This window comes from Homo sapiens, chromosome 15 (genome assembly GCF_000001405.40).
Source record: "Homo sapiens chromosome 15, GRCh38.p14 Primary Assembly".
NCBI lineage: Eukaryota > Metazoa > Chordata > Mammalia > Primates > Hominidae > Homo > Homo sapiens.
The window spans coordinates 71076626-71094850 of record NC_000015.10 but is presented as its reverse complement, the minus strand read 5'-3'; the positions used below and the strand labels follow the sequence as shown (position 1 = coordinate 71094850).

Genomic DNA, 18225 nt, shown 5'->3' with positions numbered 1-18225 from the left:
GCTCTTTTTTGGTTCCATATGAACTTTAAAGTAGTTTTTTCCAATTCTGTGAAGAAAGTCATTGGTAGCTTGATGGGGATGGCATTGAATCTATAAATTACCTTGAGCAGTATGGCCATTTTCACAATATTGATTCTTTCTACCCATGAGCATGGAATGTTCTTCCATTTGTTTGTATCCTCTTTTATTTCCTTGAGCAGTGGTTTGTAGTTCTCCTTGAAGAGGTCCTTCACATCCCTTGTAAGTTGGATTCCTAGGTATTTTATTCTCATAAAAGAAAATTTTTATCTTTTATCATAGAACTACAACTTTGGTTAAACAATGTATGTAGCTGATTATATTCTTTTGACAATTCTATCAAATTTCCAAGAGTTATAGTTTTCTCCCCTCCCCCAAGACATTTGGAGAGCACATGGACATCTGTGTCCCGGCCTCACGGTACCTCCCTCATCCCCATGGAAAGAGGAAGATGAGAGAAGGGAGGGAGGCCTTTGGCAGCCAAGGGAAGACAAGTTTCAGGAGTTCATGAAGCACCATCCCCCACCCCCAGTGAAGACCCTACCAGAAGGTCTTATGTTCTGAGCTATATTGAGTGACTGCCTCATTACCACTCCCTACTGTTATGTGGCAAGTGTCAGGGCTGTGGCAAGGGTCAGGCTATCATCATTGGCCCCTTCAATAGACTGACCCTAGCATTAGGGCAACCATAAGTCCCTGTGTGCCCAAGACAATCCTAGTTTACATCTGAGGCCCCAGTGTCACTATTAATAGTGACCTCCTTTCACTCTCAAAGTTGTTCCAGTTTGGGCAATGAATTATATGATCAAAGGCCCCATCTCCTTTCATCTGTCTGTCTCTCTTTTTTTCCCTTCCATAGAGATTTTATCCATCCCCACAGCTTAAAATTCTTTCCCTCTGAAGATAACTACTGAATTTTCATCTCTGTCTTTTTGCCCTGAGTCCACAATTTCCGCTTGGATACTGAAACAGTCACCCTCTCAGTGCTGGTGGAAATGACACAAACTGACAAGTATTTATTTAGCCTCATTCCCATCACTCACCACTGCCACCCAGAAAAGTGTCACCTGAGTATTTATTGCATGCAGCCCCAACACTAAAGAAAGATCAGAAATATTTGTTCCCGTGGTGGAAAATAAAGGGCTATTTGCCCACGTCGCCAGGCTTCCTCTGGAAAGCATCTGGGAATCATTCCAGAAATTCAATTTCCAGGTGTGTGTTTCTTTAAGGAAATATTGTGGAGTAGAGAAGGAACGCACTGTGCAGGTGCCATTGGCTGTGGGCGTTGCTATGGCAGATCAGCCTTATTACTGAATAGCAAAGGAAGGAGTCACCAGGAAAACACAACATGAACAGGCAGAGTGCACACGCCGTGGCCTCGGGAAGCCACAATCATGTGGCTGACATGGTTCCAGAGTGTGGCATTAGGGAGACCAACTTCTGAGCTGCAGATTCACAGCATGGCCATGCAGGCAGGGAAGATGTGCTCTACTCCAGGATCAAGGAGCAAGCCCATATTTCCTCTTGATTCTGGGACTCCCTCTTGAGACTGATTTGCTCTAATGTTAGCTCTTGAGAGAACTGGGGTCCCTGCCTTCTTGGGGAGCCTGAAAAGAAGTTTTGCTGTCTGGGCATCACAGCATCCAGAGTGTACAGGAGACAGGTCAGCAGCTGCGGTCAGCAGAGGCACACACGCCAGCCCCTGGAGATGGGTGGCTTGTCCTGAGCCAAAGCTGGGCTGGTTTATAAACAGCACCTGTGAAAAGAAGAGGGATGACTCCAGTGGGACATTCCTGAACCATGTGCACCTATTCACCTAGGAGAAGGAATGGCTGGAGTTGCATCTATCTTTCTGTTTATGAAATATGGGCCCAACTCCAGCGACAACATAATTTTTAGACCATTTAGTGGAATAATAAAAGTCAAAAGAGGAAAGAGAACTTACATGGATTGAACACCCACTGCATGCTTAGCTCTCTGCTAGGTGCATTACAGAAAAGAGCTTATTGAATTCTTACGCAAACCCTTGAGGATGAATGGCCGCTCACCTGGAGTCTTGATAGCCAGGTACTTAATTCACCTCCCTGAGCCTCAGTTTTTGTGTGTGTGAAGTGAGCTGACCCTACCTAACTAGTATCTATTGCAGAATGATTGAGGACACTGAATGAAATTATGGCCGAAGCTGTGCCCTTCCAGCTTACTGAGATGTAATTTAACCTATGTTTGGGGGAAGATGGTCTGGTTCTTGGGATGTGACTCCTGGATATGGTTTGTTTCCACAGGTGATGCAGATTTAGGAGAAGAAGTCCACCTCAGGTCAGGTTTCCCCAAAGGCAGATCCTGAGATGAGGAATCCAGGACCTATCACTTACTTGGGAGGTGAGCTCAGGAAGCATGGGAAACAGCAAGGGGGTGAGGCTGGGAAGGAAGGAGACTCCATACACAGTGTGTTCTTGGGAGGGTTACTTTCGTGGGCAACAGGGCCTCAGTCCCCCTAAGGACCCTCTAGGAAACTGTGCAACCACCCTCAGAGTGGCGCCGCTGAGAGGGGTGGAGCAGGGGGTTTTATTCACCAACTCCTGTCCCTCGCGGTAGAGGCTCACTCCGACAGCCTTAACTTACCTGCACCCCTGGCCTGAGGAACTGTTTGCGGGCAACCTCTAGGGCATGCCCAGGGCATGAGGTTGGGGGACCAAAATGCCTTCAAAAGAGAGTTCCCCCAACTTCCAGAAAAGGAGAGGGAGAAGGCAGAGGAAAGTGAAGGTGGAGAATTAAGACATCTGGAAAACATGTGGCGTCTGCCCTACATCAAAGCTGAAACCTGGAAGATTAGAAATTTGGGCTTCTAGGATAGAGTGCTTCTCCCCCCTTCCACTCATACTCCAGCACCCTCCTGTCCAACCACTCCACTTGCAATAGGTACCCATTTATGGAGTAGAGTGTGGGAGAATTGAAGGCTAGTTCAGTGCTGTTACACAGTGAAAGGAGCACTTATGGTGCCTCATGCAGCATTCATTAGCAGGGAATCTTAAACTGATGTCACTGGGACTTTCACTGGTAGGCTGCTGTCATTGGGGGCGGTATAATCCTGTGATTATGAGCAGGAGTTTTGGAGTGAGACCAAACTGGGGTCAAGGTCTAGTTCCATACCTTGTTAACCATATAAACTTAGGCAAATTACTTCACCATCTATGTATTTATCTATTTATTTTTAGAGACAGGATCTCACTCTGTCACCCAGGCTAGAGTGCAGTGGTGCAACCATAGCTCATTGCAGTCTTGAAGTCCTGGGCTCAAGTAATCCTCCCAGTTCAGCCTCCCAAGTAGCTGGGACTACATGCACAGACTGCTGTGCCCAGCTAATTAATTTTTTTTTTTTTTTTTATAGAGGCAGAGTTTCCTTATGTTGCCCAGGCTGGCCTCAAAGTCCTGACCTCTAGCCATCCTCCTGCCTTGGCCTCCCAAAGTGCAGGAATTACAGGTGAGAGCCCCTACACCTGGTCATTACTTCATCTTTTTATGCTGAATTTTCCTCATCTGTAAAACTGGGTGAAATAATATTAAACGTGTTATAGAACTGCTGTGAGAGTTCAATGAGATAATTCTTGTATCACAGTATCTGACACAGCATGAACACTAAATAAATTCTGGCTAATATTCTCACTCATTCTACAAATATTTATTGAGTATTTTCTGTGTGCCAGGCCCTGTTTCAGGCACCAGTGATACACCAATGAATTGAGATAGATTCAATCTAATTTGTCATAAAATTTAGATTCTATTGTCTTAAAGACAGACAATAAACAAGAAAATAAGTTGATAACTAACCATTATCATTTCAGGTAATAATACGGTTTGGATGTGTGTCCCCTGTGAATCTCATGTTGAAATGTAATCCCCCATGTTGGAGGTGGGACCTGTTGGGAGGTGACTGGATCATGGAGGCAGATTTCTCATGACTGTCTAAGAATCCCCCTAGTGACGAGTGAGTTCTCCCTCAGTTAGTTCACGTGAGATCTGCTTGTTTAAGAGTCTGGGACCTCCCTCTTCTCTCTTCTTGCCCCCACATCTCACCATGTGACGCACCTGCTCTCCCTGTGCCTTCCACCATGATTGGACGCTTCCTGAGGCCCTCACCAGGAGCAGATCCCAGCACCATGCTTCCTGTCCAGCCTGCAGAACTGAGAGCCAATTAAACCTCTTTTCTTAATAAATTACCCAGCCTCAGGTATTTCTTTATTGCAATGAAAAAGAAGACAAACACAGCTAATAATAAGTGTTTGAGCAGAGATCTAAAGAAGTGAGGACGCGAGGATCCTGGGGACAGCATTCTAGGAAGTGGGTGCAGGAAATATGAAAGCCATGCAATGAGAATACTTTATTCTCATAAATAAAGTGGTTTATGAGTACTTGCTATAAAGAGTACAAAATACAGTAATAGATGAAAGAGGAATTGGAGGTTGAAAAGAGATTTATTGATCTGTTAGTTGTTTAATTTAATATAGGATGTTATCGCATGTTAGTATGCCAATGGGATGAACCACAAGAAATAGGAAAATCAATGATACGAGAGAAAGATGTCAAGTCCTTGAATAGGAAAGAGGGCTAGGGCCCTGTGTACAGGTGGCAGATGCCCTGGACCAAGGCTGTGGCAGGCCATCCCTTGCAGCAGGAAGAAATGCAGAGGATAAAAATACAGCCACAAGAAACATTCCTGAATGCTTAGGGAAATTGCTTTCCTCTTAAAAATTTCCAAAAATTCATCTTAAGCACCTATTAAATGGCTCTTCTGGAGCTGAAGGTTTTGTGCTGCCTGCCAAGCAATGATTTGGGGTTCACAGCCAATCCCAGGGGAGTAAAAGCAGGGACAGGAGGTCAGAGAACACATTCTCTTCCATCTGTGCATGCCTTCAATAAACGTTGGATTGACTGGAATTATGAGAAACTAAAATCATTTGTTGAAGATCTGCTTAAAAGATATTTACAGATGGTGCAGAAAACCATTATCCTGAGGAAGGAATTACAACCTCCACAGACAGTATTGGGACTGTCCTAAGAAGATCGGTCTGAAGGCGGGAACCCTGTCCTGATGGGATGCTTCACTACTGAGAACTGGGACGGGTCCATTGACTCTGTGTCTGTTCAATGACATGACCATTTCTTAGGCGGCAAGTTCCCTGAAGGAAGTGGTCGTGTCTTAGTCAATATTCAGTGGCTTCCCCCACCACTCCAGAAGCTCAGTCAAGGAGTGGCAGCACAAAGAACAACAGGGCCTGCAGCTCACAGTTGTTAAAGATGGAGAGCAGATCTCCCAGAGAGAAAAGGAGACCCTCTTCACATCATGTTCTCTCATTGGCTTCTTCCTGAAGTCTGAGGCCTGAACCCCCAAATACTGCTAATAAAAAGATTTTTTAAAATTTAAATTTTAGAATCAGGGGGTACATGTGCAGGTTTGTTACAAGGGTCTGTTGCGTGATGCTGGGGTTTCGGTTTGTATTGATCCTATCACCCAGATAGTGAACAGAGTACCTAACAGGAAGATTTTCAGCCCTTGTTCTCCTCCCTCTCTCCTCCTTTTGGAGTCCCCAGTGTCTATGGAAGGGTATTTCCTAGGTTTTCTTCTAGGATTTCAAAGCTTGAGGTCTTACATTTAAAGCTTTAATCCACCCTGAGTTAATTTGCGTATATGGTGATAGGTAGGGGTCCAGTTTCATTCTTCTGCGTATGGCTAGCTAGCTATCCCAGCACCATTTATTGAATAGGTAGTTTTCGCTATTGCTTATCCTCTTTCTCCTATTTCCCTGTTCCCTTTTCCCCATTGCTTATTTTTGTCAACTGTCAAAGATCAGTTTGTTGTAGGTGTGTGGCTTTGTTTCTGGGTTCTGTATTTTGTTTCATTGATCTATGTGTCTGTTTCTGTACCTGTACCATGCTGTTTTGGCTACTGTAGCCTTGTAGTATAGTTTGAAGTCAGGTAATGTGATGTCTCTGGCTTTGTTCTTTTTGTTTAGGATTGCTTTGACTTTTCAGGCTCTTTTTTGGTTCCATATGAATTTTGAAATAGTTTTTTGTAATTCTGTTAAAAAAATGACATTGGTAATTTGATATAAATAGCATTGAATTTGTAGATTGCTTTGGGCACTATGGCCATTTTAACAATATTGATTCTTCTAATCCATGAGCATGGGATATTTTTCATTTGTTTGTGTTGTTTATGGTTTCTTTCAGCAGTGTTTTGTGATTCCCATCATAGACAACCTTCACTTCCTTGGTTAGATGTATTTCTAGTTATTTTATTTTGGTGGGTGGCTATTATAAATGGGATTATATTCTTGATTGGGCTCTCAATTTTAATGTTACTGGTGTATAGAAATGCTGCTGGTATTTGCATATTGATTTTGCAACCTGAAAGTTTACTGAAGTTGTTTATTAGTTCTAGACCTTCTGGTGGAGTCTATGGGGTTTTCCAGGTATAAAATTATATTGCCTGTGAATGAAGACAGTTTGACTTCCTCTATTCCTATCTGAATGCCTTTTATTTCTTTCTCTTGCCTGATTGCTCTGGCCAGGACTTCCACTACTATGTTGTATAGAAGTAAGAATGGGCATCCTTGTCTTTTTTTCATTTCTCAAGGGGAATGTTTCCAGCTTTTGTACATTCAGTATGATGTTGGCTGTGGGTTTATCATAAATGACTCTTATTATTTTTAGATATGTTCCTTCAATTCCTAGTTTGTTGAGGGTTTTTATCACGAAGGGATATTGGATTTCGCCTAAAGCTTTTTCTACATCTACTGAAATGGTCACATGGTTTTTGTTAATTCTGCTTAGGTGGTGAATCCATTTATTGATTTCCGTATGCTGAACCAACCTTGTATCCCAGGAATAAAGCTTACTGATTGTGGTGAAATAGTTTTTGATATGCTGCTGGGTTTGGTTTTCTAGGATTTTGTTGAGGATTTTCATGTCTATGTTCGTCAGGGATATTGGCCTGTAGTTTTCTTTTTTCACTGTGTCTTTGTCAGATTTTGGTATCAGGATAATACTGGTTTCCTAGAATGAGTTAGGGTAGAATCCTTCCTCCTCAGTCTTTCAGGATAGTTTCAGTAGGACTGGTACCAGTTCTTCTTTGTATGTCTGGTAGAATTTGGCTATGAATCTGTCTAGCCCAGTACTTTTATGGGTTGGTAGGTTTTTTATTACTGATTCAATTTCAGAACATATTAATGGTCTGTTCAGAGTTTCATTTTCTTCCTGATTCAATCTTGGCAGGTTGTGTGCTTCCAGGAATTTATCCATTTTCTCTAGGTTTTCTAGTTTGTGTGCATATAGGCGTTCCTAATAGTCTCTCAGGATCTTTAGTATTTCTGTGGGATCATTTGTAATGTCACCTTTGTCATTTCTGATTGTGCTCATTTGGGTCTTTCTTTTTGCTTTCTTTCTTTCTTTCTTTCTTTCTTTCTTTCTTTCTTTCTTTCTTTCTTTCTTTCTTTCTGTCTTTCTCTCTCTCTTTCTTTCTTTCTTTTCAAAAAACCAACTCTTCATTTTGTGGATCCTTTGTATGTTTTAGGATGGGTCTTAATTTTGTTTAGTTCTGTTCTATTTTAGTTATTTCTTTTCTTCTGCTAGTTTTGAGATTAGCTTGTTCTTTGTTTTTCTAGTTCATTTATGTGTAATGTAATGTTAGATCATTAATTTGAGATCTTTCTATTTTCTTGATGTAGGCATTCAGTGCTATAAACTTCCCTCTTAACAACTGCTTTTGCCTCGTCCCAGAGATTTTGGAAGATTGTTTTCATTCATTTCAAAGAATTTGATAAAAAGACTTTTGAAGTTAACAATGAGTGGAGGCTTCCATCTTGGAAGTCTGGAGTTTTAGTATATTCCCCTGGTGATCTAGCACTTCCTGCAGTGGGAATTGTGGGATTTTCCTGCTATGCTTGTAATGTTGGAAGAATGGTCAGTACATTACTCAAGAGTCTTACTCTCTGCCTATCAGTCACACAGAGGCAGGAGAGTATGTTGACTAGTTTCTCACTTTGGACCTGAAGCTACTTATAACAACCCACCTATAACAACCCACAAAGGCCCACATTGGGCCAAAAAGCATAAGGAGTCCCTTGATCTAACTCCACCGCACAGTAGGATGATAAGACTTTGTTCTGAAAAGCCCTTGGGAATTTCACATACCCTTCCCTTGTCCCCTGGGAGCTGTGTCACCCATGGACACTCTTTCTTTCCTACCCTCACCACTTCCTGTGCTCACCTGGATACTCCTGCTCCCTCACTCCCCTTAGCTCCCCACTCAGGAGTCTCACATCTCTTTGGCCTTCTATGGGGGCTGTCAGAACCATGTCCTGCTTTCATTTAAAGATGAGTAAATGGGGGCTGCAGACACAGGAAGGTAGAGGAGGAAATTTAGAAAAGCAGCTCTAAAAGCCAAAGTTCTATAAGATAATGAAATCTTTCAGATTTTCAAGAATGTCCTCCTCTTAGCACAACTCCTCTGCCTTCTTCTCATCTCCCCATTGATGTCTGCTATGTCTGCAGAAGGGGGTGAGGGTGAAGAAATAGACCCACCCTGCCAGGAAGCCTTCACATCACAGTGGCTGTCTGGGAACCCAGAACTGGGTACATAGCAAGTTGATTTCTGAGACCCCGGGCAGCACATACAAGCTAAAATCTTGCTTTTCTCTGTGGGATGGTCCAGAAAGAATACCATGCTTCAAAGCAATTCTGCATACAAGGTGGTAATTGCAGCTTGGGGAAGGGACCACAAGTGAGGAGTGCCCCCAGGACGTGGATCAAGTTGCCTTGAGAGCACAATTAACACAGCAGGTTACAGACCTTACAGAAATGGAGGCTCACAGGACACAGCAAGGCTCTGCGTTAGTTAATTGATTACATTAGCATATCTAAAGAAAGACTCTGTGGAAACCAGGTAGAACTATGTCTGCTTGGAATCTAGAAAGAACTCAAGCAGAAAGGCACACTTAGGAAAGCCTTGCTAAGGGAGTCAATCCTGAACTGTAGCAGAGGCCAGCTGTTCAATCGCCCTCCCACTGGCTTAGGAGGGGAAATGAAAACACCCGTGGAGTCCCCAGCCTCTACCACAGATAGATCAAAACACTCTTCTCTTGTCTCTGCTCTGCCTCTGCTTCCATGATAGGTAGGTTGAGACTGAGAACGGTGTGCACCCAGGAGCGAGGGTCCTGCAATTGCTTCATGAGATGGGGCATGGGACAAGAGCACCAAGCACAAGGTTAACAGAACTATCCAGACTGAAGTCAACACCCCCTTTTCACCCCACCTGGTTAAAGCCTTTTTACAAATTCTTTAGTAAACAGGAATCAGGTCATTAATTTTAGAACTCTGCCCTAGAATATGGGTGATTTAGTTGTATCAAGGGTCCCCAAGACCACCACCAGGCTCAGTGATTTGCTAGGAGGACTCACAGGATTCCACATATAGCCATGCTCACAGCTAAGATTGATTACAGCAAAAGGATACAAAGCAATTGTTTCATGAGCAAAGGGAACAGGCACATGGGGAGAAGTCCAGAGAAAGCCAGGTGCAAGCTCTCAAGAGTCTGCTCCTAGTAAATTCACACAGGACACACTTAGTTCCTCTAGCAACAAATTCTAACTACACATGTGAAGTATTGTCTGTCAGGACAGCTCATTAGAGACTCAGTGCTTAAGATTTTATACTGGGGTTTTGTCATGTAGGCACCTGCTGCCTAGCATGTAACAAAACTCCAGGCTCTCAGAAGGAAGGCAGGCATTCAGCACAAACCATTTTGTTTGTACAAATGGTGTAAGTCCAATGAGCCACGCTTATCACTGATAGAAGTTTTCTATCAATGTGGGGAATTATTCACTGGCCAAGCTCCCAGATGCCCACCAGGGGCCAACTTTCCAAGCAGACCTTTCTAAGGAGAGCAGTCTCAGGCAGCCATGGTGACTGTTTCCTGCACAGGTGTATACAATTAAACTCATGTTATCCATATAGTAACACTATAAAGTTCTCACTCACAAGCATAGGTTCAAGCATGAACAAATCCTTTGCTATCTTCTTAAAGTCCCAAGACAAAGCCTTCCTCCAAATATTGATGTGGATATATTTTTTTTTCCACCAAGAGGAGCCCATGTGCTACTGCCAACAAGATTCTAGTGCTCCAATTAGCCAAGTGTGGTGGTGCATGCCTGTATTCCTAGTTACTCAGGAGGCTGAGGCTGGAGGATCACTTAAGCCTTGGAGTTCGAGGCTGCAGTGAGCTATGATTGCACCACTAAACTCCAGCCTGGGTGACAGAGCAAGACCCTGTGTCTAAAAATAAATAAATAAATAAATAAATAAATAAATAAATAAATAAATAAATAAATATTCTAGTGTTCCAAGTTGGCAAAACCCACCTCAATCCCACCCCTCCTTTCTACCACTTCCTTGTATCCTTAGTTCGAGCTTTCAAGCCATCCACCTGATTTGGGGTGCTAAATGTTATTCACAAACTGTCTCTTTCTCACCTTTCCCCAAGCCAGAATTGATCAGCATGGCCTCACCCCTGGTTCCCAGACCCAGAGGAGGTCACAGCTCTGAAGAAGTGCTTCAGAGGACTCCCCTGGAGGCTGAGCACAGTGAAGCTCAGAAAAGAGCCCTTCCCTCTGAGTTATTTAAAGGCATCTCTACTCTGCTCCATCTTCTGTCCTTGCTCCCCCACCTCCTTCTACAGTTGAGACATTATTGTCTTACTTTTGCCCTTCAGAAGCAAATTGTCAACCCAGCTCAGGCTGGGGCACAGTGACCTTTTCTTTAGACAGTTGTTCAAATATTCTGTGATATACAAATTGAACCACCCTGAAGTCAACCTCGAATCTACTCAATGGTAATGACTTGATTGCTCTTGGACCTGTGGAAATCCTAATCCTCAGCCCCATTTCACACAGTGATGACTTTGCCCAGTTTATTTTCTTTTTTCAAAGGACGGCGTTAGAGAAGCGGCGAGGGGGAGATTACCCCTTTCTGTCTACCTAGCTCAATCAGTCCATTCATAAAGGCCAAATTGGGAGCCCCTCCACACTCAGATCATTACCTCAGTAGGAATTCCCCTTCTGTTTGTTTTTTTTTTCCAAGTGTAGGATCTGGACTGTCTGTGTGTGAGGGGCTGGGGGTGTTTCAGGACAAATGACATCATGTAGACCCATAGAAACAGATGTTCAGACTTTCTGTACTTCATGAACTCAGTTTCGTGCCATCTACTGGAATGGAAACTGGCCAGGCCATCCGGAGGGAGCTTCTAAGACGAGTGGGTGGGACCTCACTGCTTTCCTTTCACTAAAACAGGAAGGGCCTGGGCTGGAATATCTTAGTGAGCACATCCAGAAATGGGCATGGAAAACCAGTGCTCAACCCACAGACTCCAGCTCCACCAAGCAGATTTGTAAGCGAGATGCTGAAATAATTTTTCCGCTCCACTTCCCCCCTCCCCTGCCCCCAGAAAGGCATGAGATATTTTTAGCAGGAAAAATAAATGCCCAATAAAAATGAACATAAAAATACCATACGAGGGACAGGGTACCCTCCCATCGGTTTCCAAGAGATCCCTGGAGTGACCATTAAATTAAACAGGCTTTGAAGCCAGCATTAGAGGAGTGGATGGGTACAGGCCAGCCCTGGTCTAAAAAGAGCTGGGGAGGGGAATAGAAAGAAGAAACTGGCCGAAAGAATCCTGTGCTTAATGAAGGAGAGTGTAGGACTAGGGAGAAATTCACAAAGCACACCATGTGCCTCTTCTGTGAGCTCATGACCATTTTGCCTGCCAAGTCCAATGACCTTCCCTCCACGCACGTCTCCCTGACCCTTCCGTGGCATCTGATCCATTCCTCCTGCCGTTGGCCTCTGTGGAACTGTCCTTTCTTCATGCTCCTCCTACATTTCTGCCTCAAGCTTAACAGAATAAAACCTGAGGTCCTCATTTTCCTCCCACACCTGCTTATTTCTTTATTTCCCCCTCAGTGAAAGGCATTTCCAGTTCCTCAGGCCAAAACCTTGAAGTCATCCTTGACTTCTCTCTCTCACACCACACATCCAATCTGTCAGCAGATCCTGCTGCTCCACCCTCCAAATACATCGGGACCTGACCATTTCTCACCCCCTCCCCTGTTCCCGCCTGGTCCAAACCCTCGTCATCTCTCACCTGGCTTATTCCACGGGCTTCCTGCTTCACCTTCCTGCTCTGCCCTTGCCCCCTTGGACCATGGATTCTCAACACAGTCATCAGACCCATATTGTTAACATGAAAGTCAGAGGGCAATCTCTGCTCAAAGCCTTCAAAAGACTTCCAGTCTTACCTAGAAGGGAACCCCAAGTCCTTACGATGGCCTTCAAGGCCTCAAGTGGTCTAGCCCTGTGTTAACTCTGTGTTAACTCTGGCCTCTTCTCTTCCTAGAGAGCCCTGTTAAGCTCCGCTACAGCCACATGGGCTCCATGCTAGTTCTCTCATCTCCAGGCCCTGGGACATGTGATTCTCTCCTCCAAAAATACTCTCCCAACCAGATGTCTTCACAGCTCACTCCCTCACTTGCTTCAGGTCTTTACTTGAATGCCACTTTCTTGGTCGCTCCATCTAAAACTGCAACCATCTTGAAATTAAAAAAAAAATTCCCTTCCTTCCTTTATTTCTCACCTTGCTACTTTTCCCCATCTAACCTATTATAGAGGAAATTGACTGTCTTGCTTATTTCCTGCTCCCCTCCTTCACTAGAATGTAAGTTCCATGAGGGTACAAATACTTGTCTCTTTTTTGTTTGCTTGTTTGTTTTTGCTGATGAGTCTCCAGCAGAACCTTTTATTAAATAAATAGAATGAATGAAGGAGTGGATGTATCTGCTAAAATCCACAACCACTCCCAACCTCCCTGCTCTTGATATTGATACTAGTACTTGTCACATCTTCCAGCTCATGGGAGCTGTTCTGGCCCATGCTCCTCCTGTGCCACTAGCCTCTAACCAGATGCCATCTCCTCTGCCACGGATCTTCCTCCTGAGGAACCCGGTGGTGTGATGAGGCAGCTCAGTCTCTGCTCAAGTCACAAGAACCAGGACAAAGTTTTCAAAATGCTTCAGAGCAAGTGGCTTCAACAAACTCCAAACCTCTGGTGCCTCATCTGTAAAGTGGGTTTAATAATGCCAACTTCCATTAGGTTATTGTGAGAATGACATGGGGTAACCTGTGTATCATATTTCTCCTGGTGCCTGATAGAATCACTGCTTCCCTTCCTGCTGTGTTTGTGCCATTCTAAATGTCTCTGACTCTGATGGCTACCAGATTCTCTTGAGGGTCTCTTCAGTCTTTTCAGTAGGCCACCCACCTTGTCCACTGCTGCATAATTTCTCCAGGTTCCTTCCTGGTTCAAAACTCTTTGTGTGGTCAGGTGCGGTGGCTCACGCCTGTGATCCCAGCTCTTTGGGATCCCTAAGTAGAAGGATCACTTGAGCCCAGGAATTTGAGACCAGCATGGGCAACAAAGCAAGACTTCGTCTCTACAAAAAATAATTTAAAAAAATTAGGTGGTTATGGTGGCACATACCTGTAGTCCCAGCTACTCAGGAGGCTGAGGCAGGAGTATGGCTTGAGCCAGAAGTTGGAGGCTGCACTTAGCTATGATTACTCCACTGTACTCTAGCCTGACGACAGAGCAAAACCCTTCTCAAAAACAAACAAAACCCCAAAAACTTTGCATTCCTTCCAAAGGATGAAACATTTCATTTAACCCAGCCACATGGAGTTAAATATGGTCAAGCCAAATGAACTCATTTCACATGTTTAGCTCAAGCAAGCTGATTTCTTCACAGGAGCTGCCCAGTAAATGCTTCAGTGACGCCCACCATGATGTGTGTGGGGTTAGTTCATCAGCTGAGCTGTCTGAACCACTTACAGACTTCCAAGCCCTACATGTTCTTCCTTGTCTCTGAGTCATTGTGAAAGCTGCCCCTGAACTTAGAATACCCTTTGACTCTTTCCTATCCCCCTCTTTACCCACTAAATAGCACTACACTTGCCAGAGTCCCAGCCACTTGTGGGGCTGAGGCAAGAGGATCACTTGAGGCCAGGAGTTTGAGGCTGCAGTGAGCCGTGATCATGCCTGTGAATAGTCACTGCACTCCAGCCTGGGCAATACAATGAGATCCTGTCTCTTACAAAAAAGTAAAAAATAAAAAATAACACCACATCTTTCAGCAGCCTTAAGGGAGGCCCTCCTTTCAAAACCCCACTGTACCTCCTCCCCGAGGTGGGCTTCGCTGCCCCTCTACTGTGCTCCCACCACATCCGTGCTTACTCCAAAGAGGCACGTACTATGTTGAATTGCATGCGCCTGTTTAGTCATCTACCTCTTCAACCCAGGCTGTGAGCCTGGTGGGCAGGGACCATGCCCTATTCATCCGAGTGAACTGGTGCTGAATACAATTATTTGGCACATGGTAGGTGTGGAATAAAGGCTTTCTGAATGAATGAGCTGGTAAGTAAGTGAGGAATGGATGACTCAATGACTAAATGAAGAAATGCAACACTCCACCAGCCCAAGTGAAGGTTTATGAGGGCATGAAAAGACTGGAAAAAGCATGCCTGTTAGGAACAGACCCAGAACGGCAACCCCCTCAACCCCTTGCCTTCTGTCCTGGTCCTCTCCTCTCCGCCCTGCACACACTTGTTTTCCATGAGCCACCTCACCCATCCTGGAGGCTTCTGTTCCCCTCTGAGTGTCATTGATTGCCAAAGCAATGGTCCCAAATTCTGTGCCAAACTTAAGGCAAACTTTTCAGAAAATTTGTCTCTTACCTATGCCTTTTCCATTTGAATTTTTACAGCTACCACTTCCTCCACGAGATGACTTGCTCTCTGGATTGGAGGTGTGTCTGCATTTCAGGAACAAGCAACTTTTCTCTGTGGCTACAGGCTGTACTCTGAACCTCCACCATTGGAAAGTCAACTCCTGCTACGTCCTGTTCAGCAAGGATTTGAGCAGGTTTGGTGAAGGTAAATGCATTCCTATTGCCATGGAGACATGGTATTTCTCAGTGACAGAGAACAGAGAAGCAAAGTTAAAGTTACTTGCATGGCAATATAGTAGAAAAAGTAAAAACTCAGAGCCTGGATGTGTAGGGCAGGCATGGGGAACTTCTGGCTTCCAGCTCTTGGCTCAATTTTCTTCCAGCCTTTGGCAAACATGACAAACCATGGTTACATTAACAAAGAATGATACTTATCAGTCAGATACCACCCAGTGCTGGAAAGGCCCCAGAGCCAGTTGGAAGGCAGTGGGTGGTGACACATTTTACAAGCACGTTCTCACGGTTCTACTCTATTTCAGAATTCATTTGGGCTTCCTACATTTCAAGTCAACTGTCTTTTTGAAATACCTGTAGATTCTCCAGAGCCTGTGCTAAGTTTTAAGGCTTCTTGTTTTTTTTTTTTTTTTTTTGCCGTTTGCCCTTGTTTTATACTGTTGACTAAAGCCATAAAGTCACAAGCTGTGAAAGACGGAAAGACCTTTAGAGATTATCTGATCTAACCCCCTCATTTTATAGGCTAAGAAACTGTCAGAAGTGACTTTAACTTTGAATTTTATGAGATCTATTTGTGTTGACAACATAATCGAATGCCCTGCTTCTGAGACTGAGGATTTGCAAGGGGAAATATTTTTTAAAAGTCAGTGCTCTTTCTGATGGGTGGGAGAGTAGGGTAAAAGCTTTTGTTTTCGTAACTGTTTCTGTGCCACACACTCCACCAGATAGAATGCAAGACCTCTCTACCGGGTTTAAGCCTACCACTGTCAGAATAACCACAGGAGGAATACCTGTAGACTGTTGCTACTCCCCTTAGGAAAGTATCCAATGATCAGAGGTCACTTCCCCACTTTGAGGGTGTTCAGACAGAAAAGACTAAAGACCTCTGAAGCAATGACACGTGCAAGCAGTCAACAGCACCCACTGTTCCCAAAGAGAGTTTCTCTTGGGGGCTCTGGCCAGTTGGACTTCTTAATAAATCAGCTCCTGCACACAACAGCTATGCACATCCCTGCCTCTGTTGAGCAGGCACTGCATGTGGCCGAAGCAGGCTCCATGGCAATGAGGCATGGACTGGTTTGGGAGTTGTAGATGCCTTAGGCTGTTGTGTAGGAAACTGGAAGGCTGATCCCTAGAATCACTTTGGAAAAGGCACAAAGTTCAGAGCTAGAAAAGCAAAATCAAAACCCGTTTGCAGAGCCAATGGGTAAGATCAGGAAAGGCAAACAGGTTTCACATCAACTCTGATTGGTGGTACCTGTCTGGGGTACGGTACTGAGAAGGGTTGTGAAGCCGTGAGTCAGAGGAAAGGTACAGGGCTATGGATTAGGAATGCCTGCATTAGGGCTAAGCAGGGGAGAGCAACAAGTGTACTATGTATTTTTCTTTTTTTTTAATATCATTTTATTTTAGCCAAGAATTACCTGTATAAAGTCGAAAAGTGCTTCCACTGATGCAACACGGCAGTCCTTTTCAGGTAATCTTACCAGCAGGCTCCTTCTTCTCACGGAAGAGCCATGTTAACAATAAACTTTGGCTAGAGGGTGCTGTGGAAATGGTAAAATATGGAGATTATTCTGTGAAAAATTATGGGTGATTTGAGAGTAAAAGCAAGAAGCTATTGGCATTAGGCAGAATACATAGAAAATAAAACATAAACTCACTTTTGTAATCAATCCAGGATGGCATGGATTGAATGGATTGACAAGGGTGCATGGTTGAATGGTCAACACTCTTCACCTGCCAGTGCAGAGCCCTAAAATGAACACTTAACCACCATCAGGGTGAGAGGCAGCTCTTTGATACTGGTGGTCGGGGGGCGGGGGTGGTGTCAGTCTCATTAACCAGGGCAGTGAGGGTTGGCTGAAGTATCTGGCCACCGGAAATCCTATTGTCTCAGCTCAGTTGAGGAAACCAGTAGCCTTAAATGGGGGATAAAACTGATGGACCAGGCTGCAAGTGGCCCATCACACAGAGCAGGCCTGGGATGTTCCTATCAAGGCAATAGGAAGCCCTCCCTGTCCACGCAGTGATGGTAGAGCCAGTCCAGAAGCACAAGCCCAGAAGCAACCTGGGTGTCTACATGGAGGAATGATTCTTGTCCCTCCCAAGGCTCTTATAGATTCTGTTCCCTGATATTCTTCCCATGTGTGTGGGACACAGGGGAAGCTGGGAAGGGTGGCACAAGTATCTTTTCTGTATTTATTCAGATAATTTAATGTTTATTTTCTAGTTCTTACCATGGTGAGTTACATTGATTGATCTTTCAAATGTTAGGCCAACTTTACATTCCTGGGATGAAATCCACTTGGTCGTGACCTATTGTCTTCTTATGTATCATTGGATTTGATTCACTAAAATACTGCTAAGAAGTTTTGTGTCTATGCTTGTCGTAGGAAAATAGCCAATTACATGGCAAGAGTGGCGCCATCTTGAATTGAAACTCCCATGATGACTGTTGTTTGACTCTTGCATGCCAAGGTGGTCTGCAGCAAGGTCTTTAAACAATGCTCATAGCTTAGATAACCCCTCATAAAGATGCTTATCTAACCTCCCCAGTAGTCTTGAGTTTAACAAGAAACACAGATGTGACTAGCTACCACATATTTTACCAAAAAACTTGTAATATAACAGATATTTTCTAAAAGGTGAGTGCAGAGATCCACTGCCTAATGGCCACCCAAGACATCTCTCCTGTTCATAAGCTCCTATTAAATATTTCTTTTTAAGAAACTGGATTTTTCAGCTGTTTTATTCAGCCTCTCATCTCCCTCAGCCTTTGCGGGCAGGTTTACTTATACCTGCTCACTGCGGAGCATTTGTCTTGGTCTGTTTTGTGTTGCTATAACAGAATATCATAGACTGGATAATTTATAAAGAAAAGAGGCTTATTTCGCTCACAGTTCTGGAGGCTGGGAAGTTCTATAGCATGCTACCCACATCTGGTGAGGGCCTTCTTGCTGCATCATAACTTGGCAGAAGGGCAAGAGAGCATGTGAGACAGACAGAGGCACCAGGTGCTGGACCCACTTTTATATCTGCCCACTCTTGTGATAACTTACCCATAATAACTACATTAATCCATTCATGAGGGCTTCACCCTCATGATCCAATCCCCTCTTAATAAGCCCCACCTCCCAAC

General features: G+C 44.2%; 1 long non-coding RNA gene across 1 annotated transcript, besides 1 other annotated feature; it reads left to right on the top strand.

Moving 5' to 3' along the window:
• Positions 1–1420: 1420 nt before the first annotated feature.
• Positions 1421–18225, top strand: LOC105370886 (uncharacterized). Its single transcript, XR_932439.2, has 5 exons — positions 1421–2085; positions 2301–2397; positions 3407–3499; positions 14886–15054; positions 16497–18225. It is a non-coding gene; the product is annotated as an uncharacterized LOC105370886 (long non-coding RNA).
• Positions 8678–9293: an enhancer, noted in NCBI's record as "OCT4-NANOG-H3K4me1 hESC enhancer chr15:71377897-71378512 (GRCh37/hg19 assembly coordinates)". NCBI's record gives its function as "activates a minimal SCP1, AML or CMV promoter by ChIP-STARR-seq in naive and primed H9 embryonic stem cells {active_cell/tissue: H9 hESC(naive and primed)}" and the evidence as "EXISTENCE:reporter gene assay evidence [ECO:0000049][PMID:30033119]".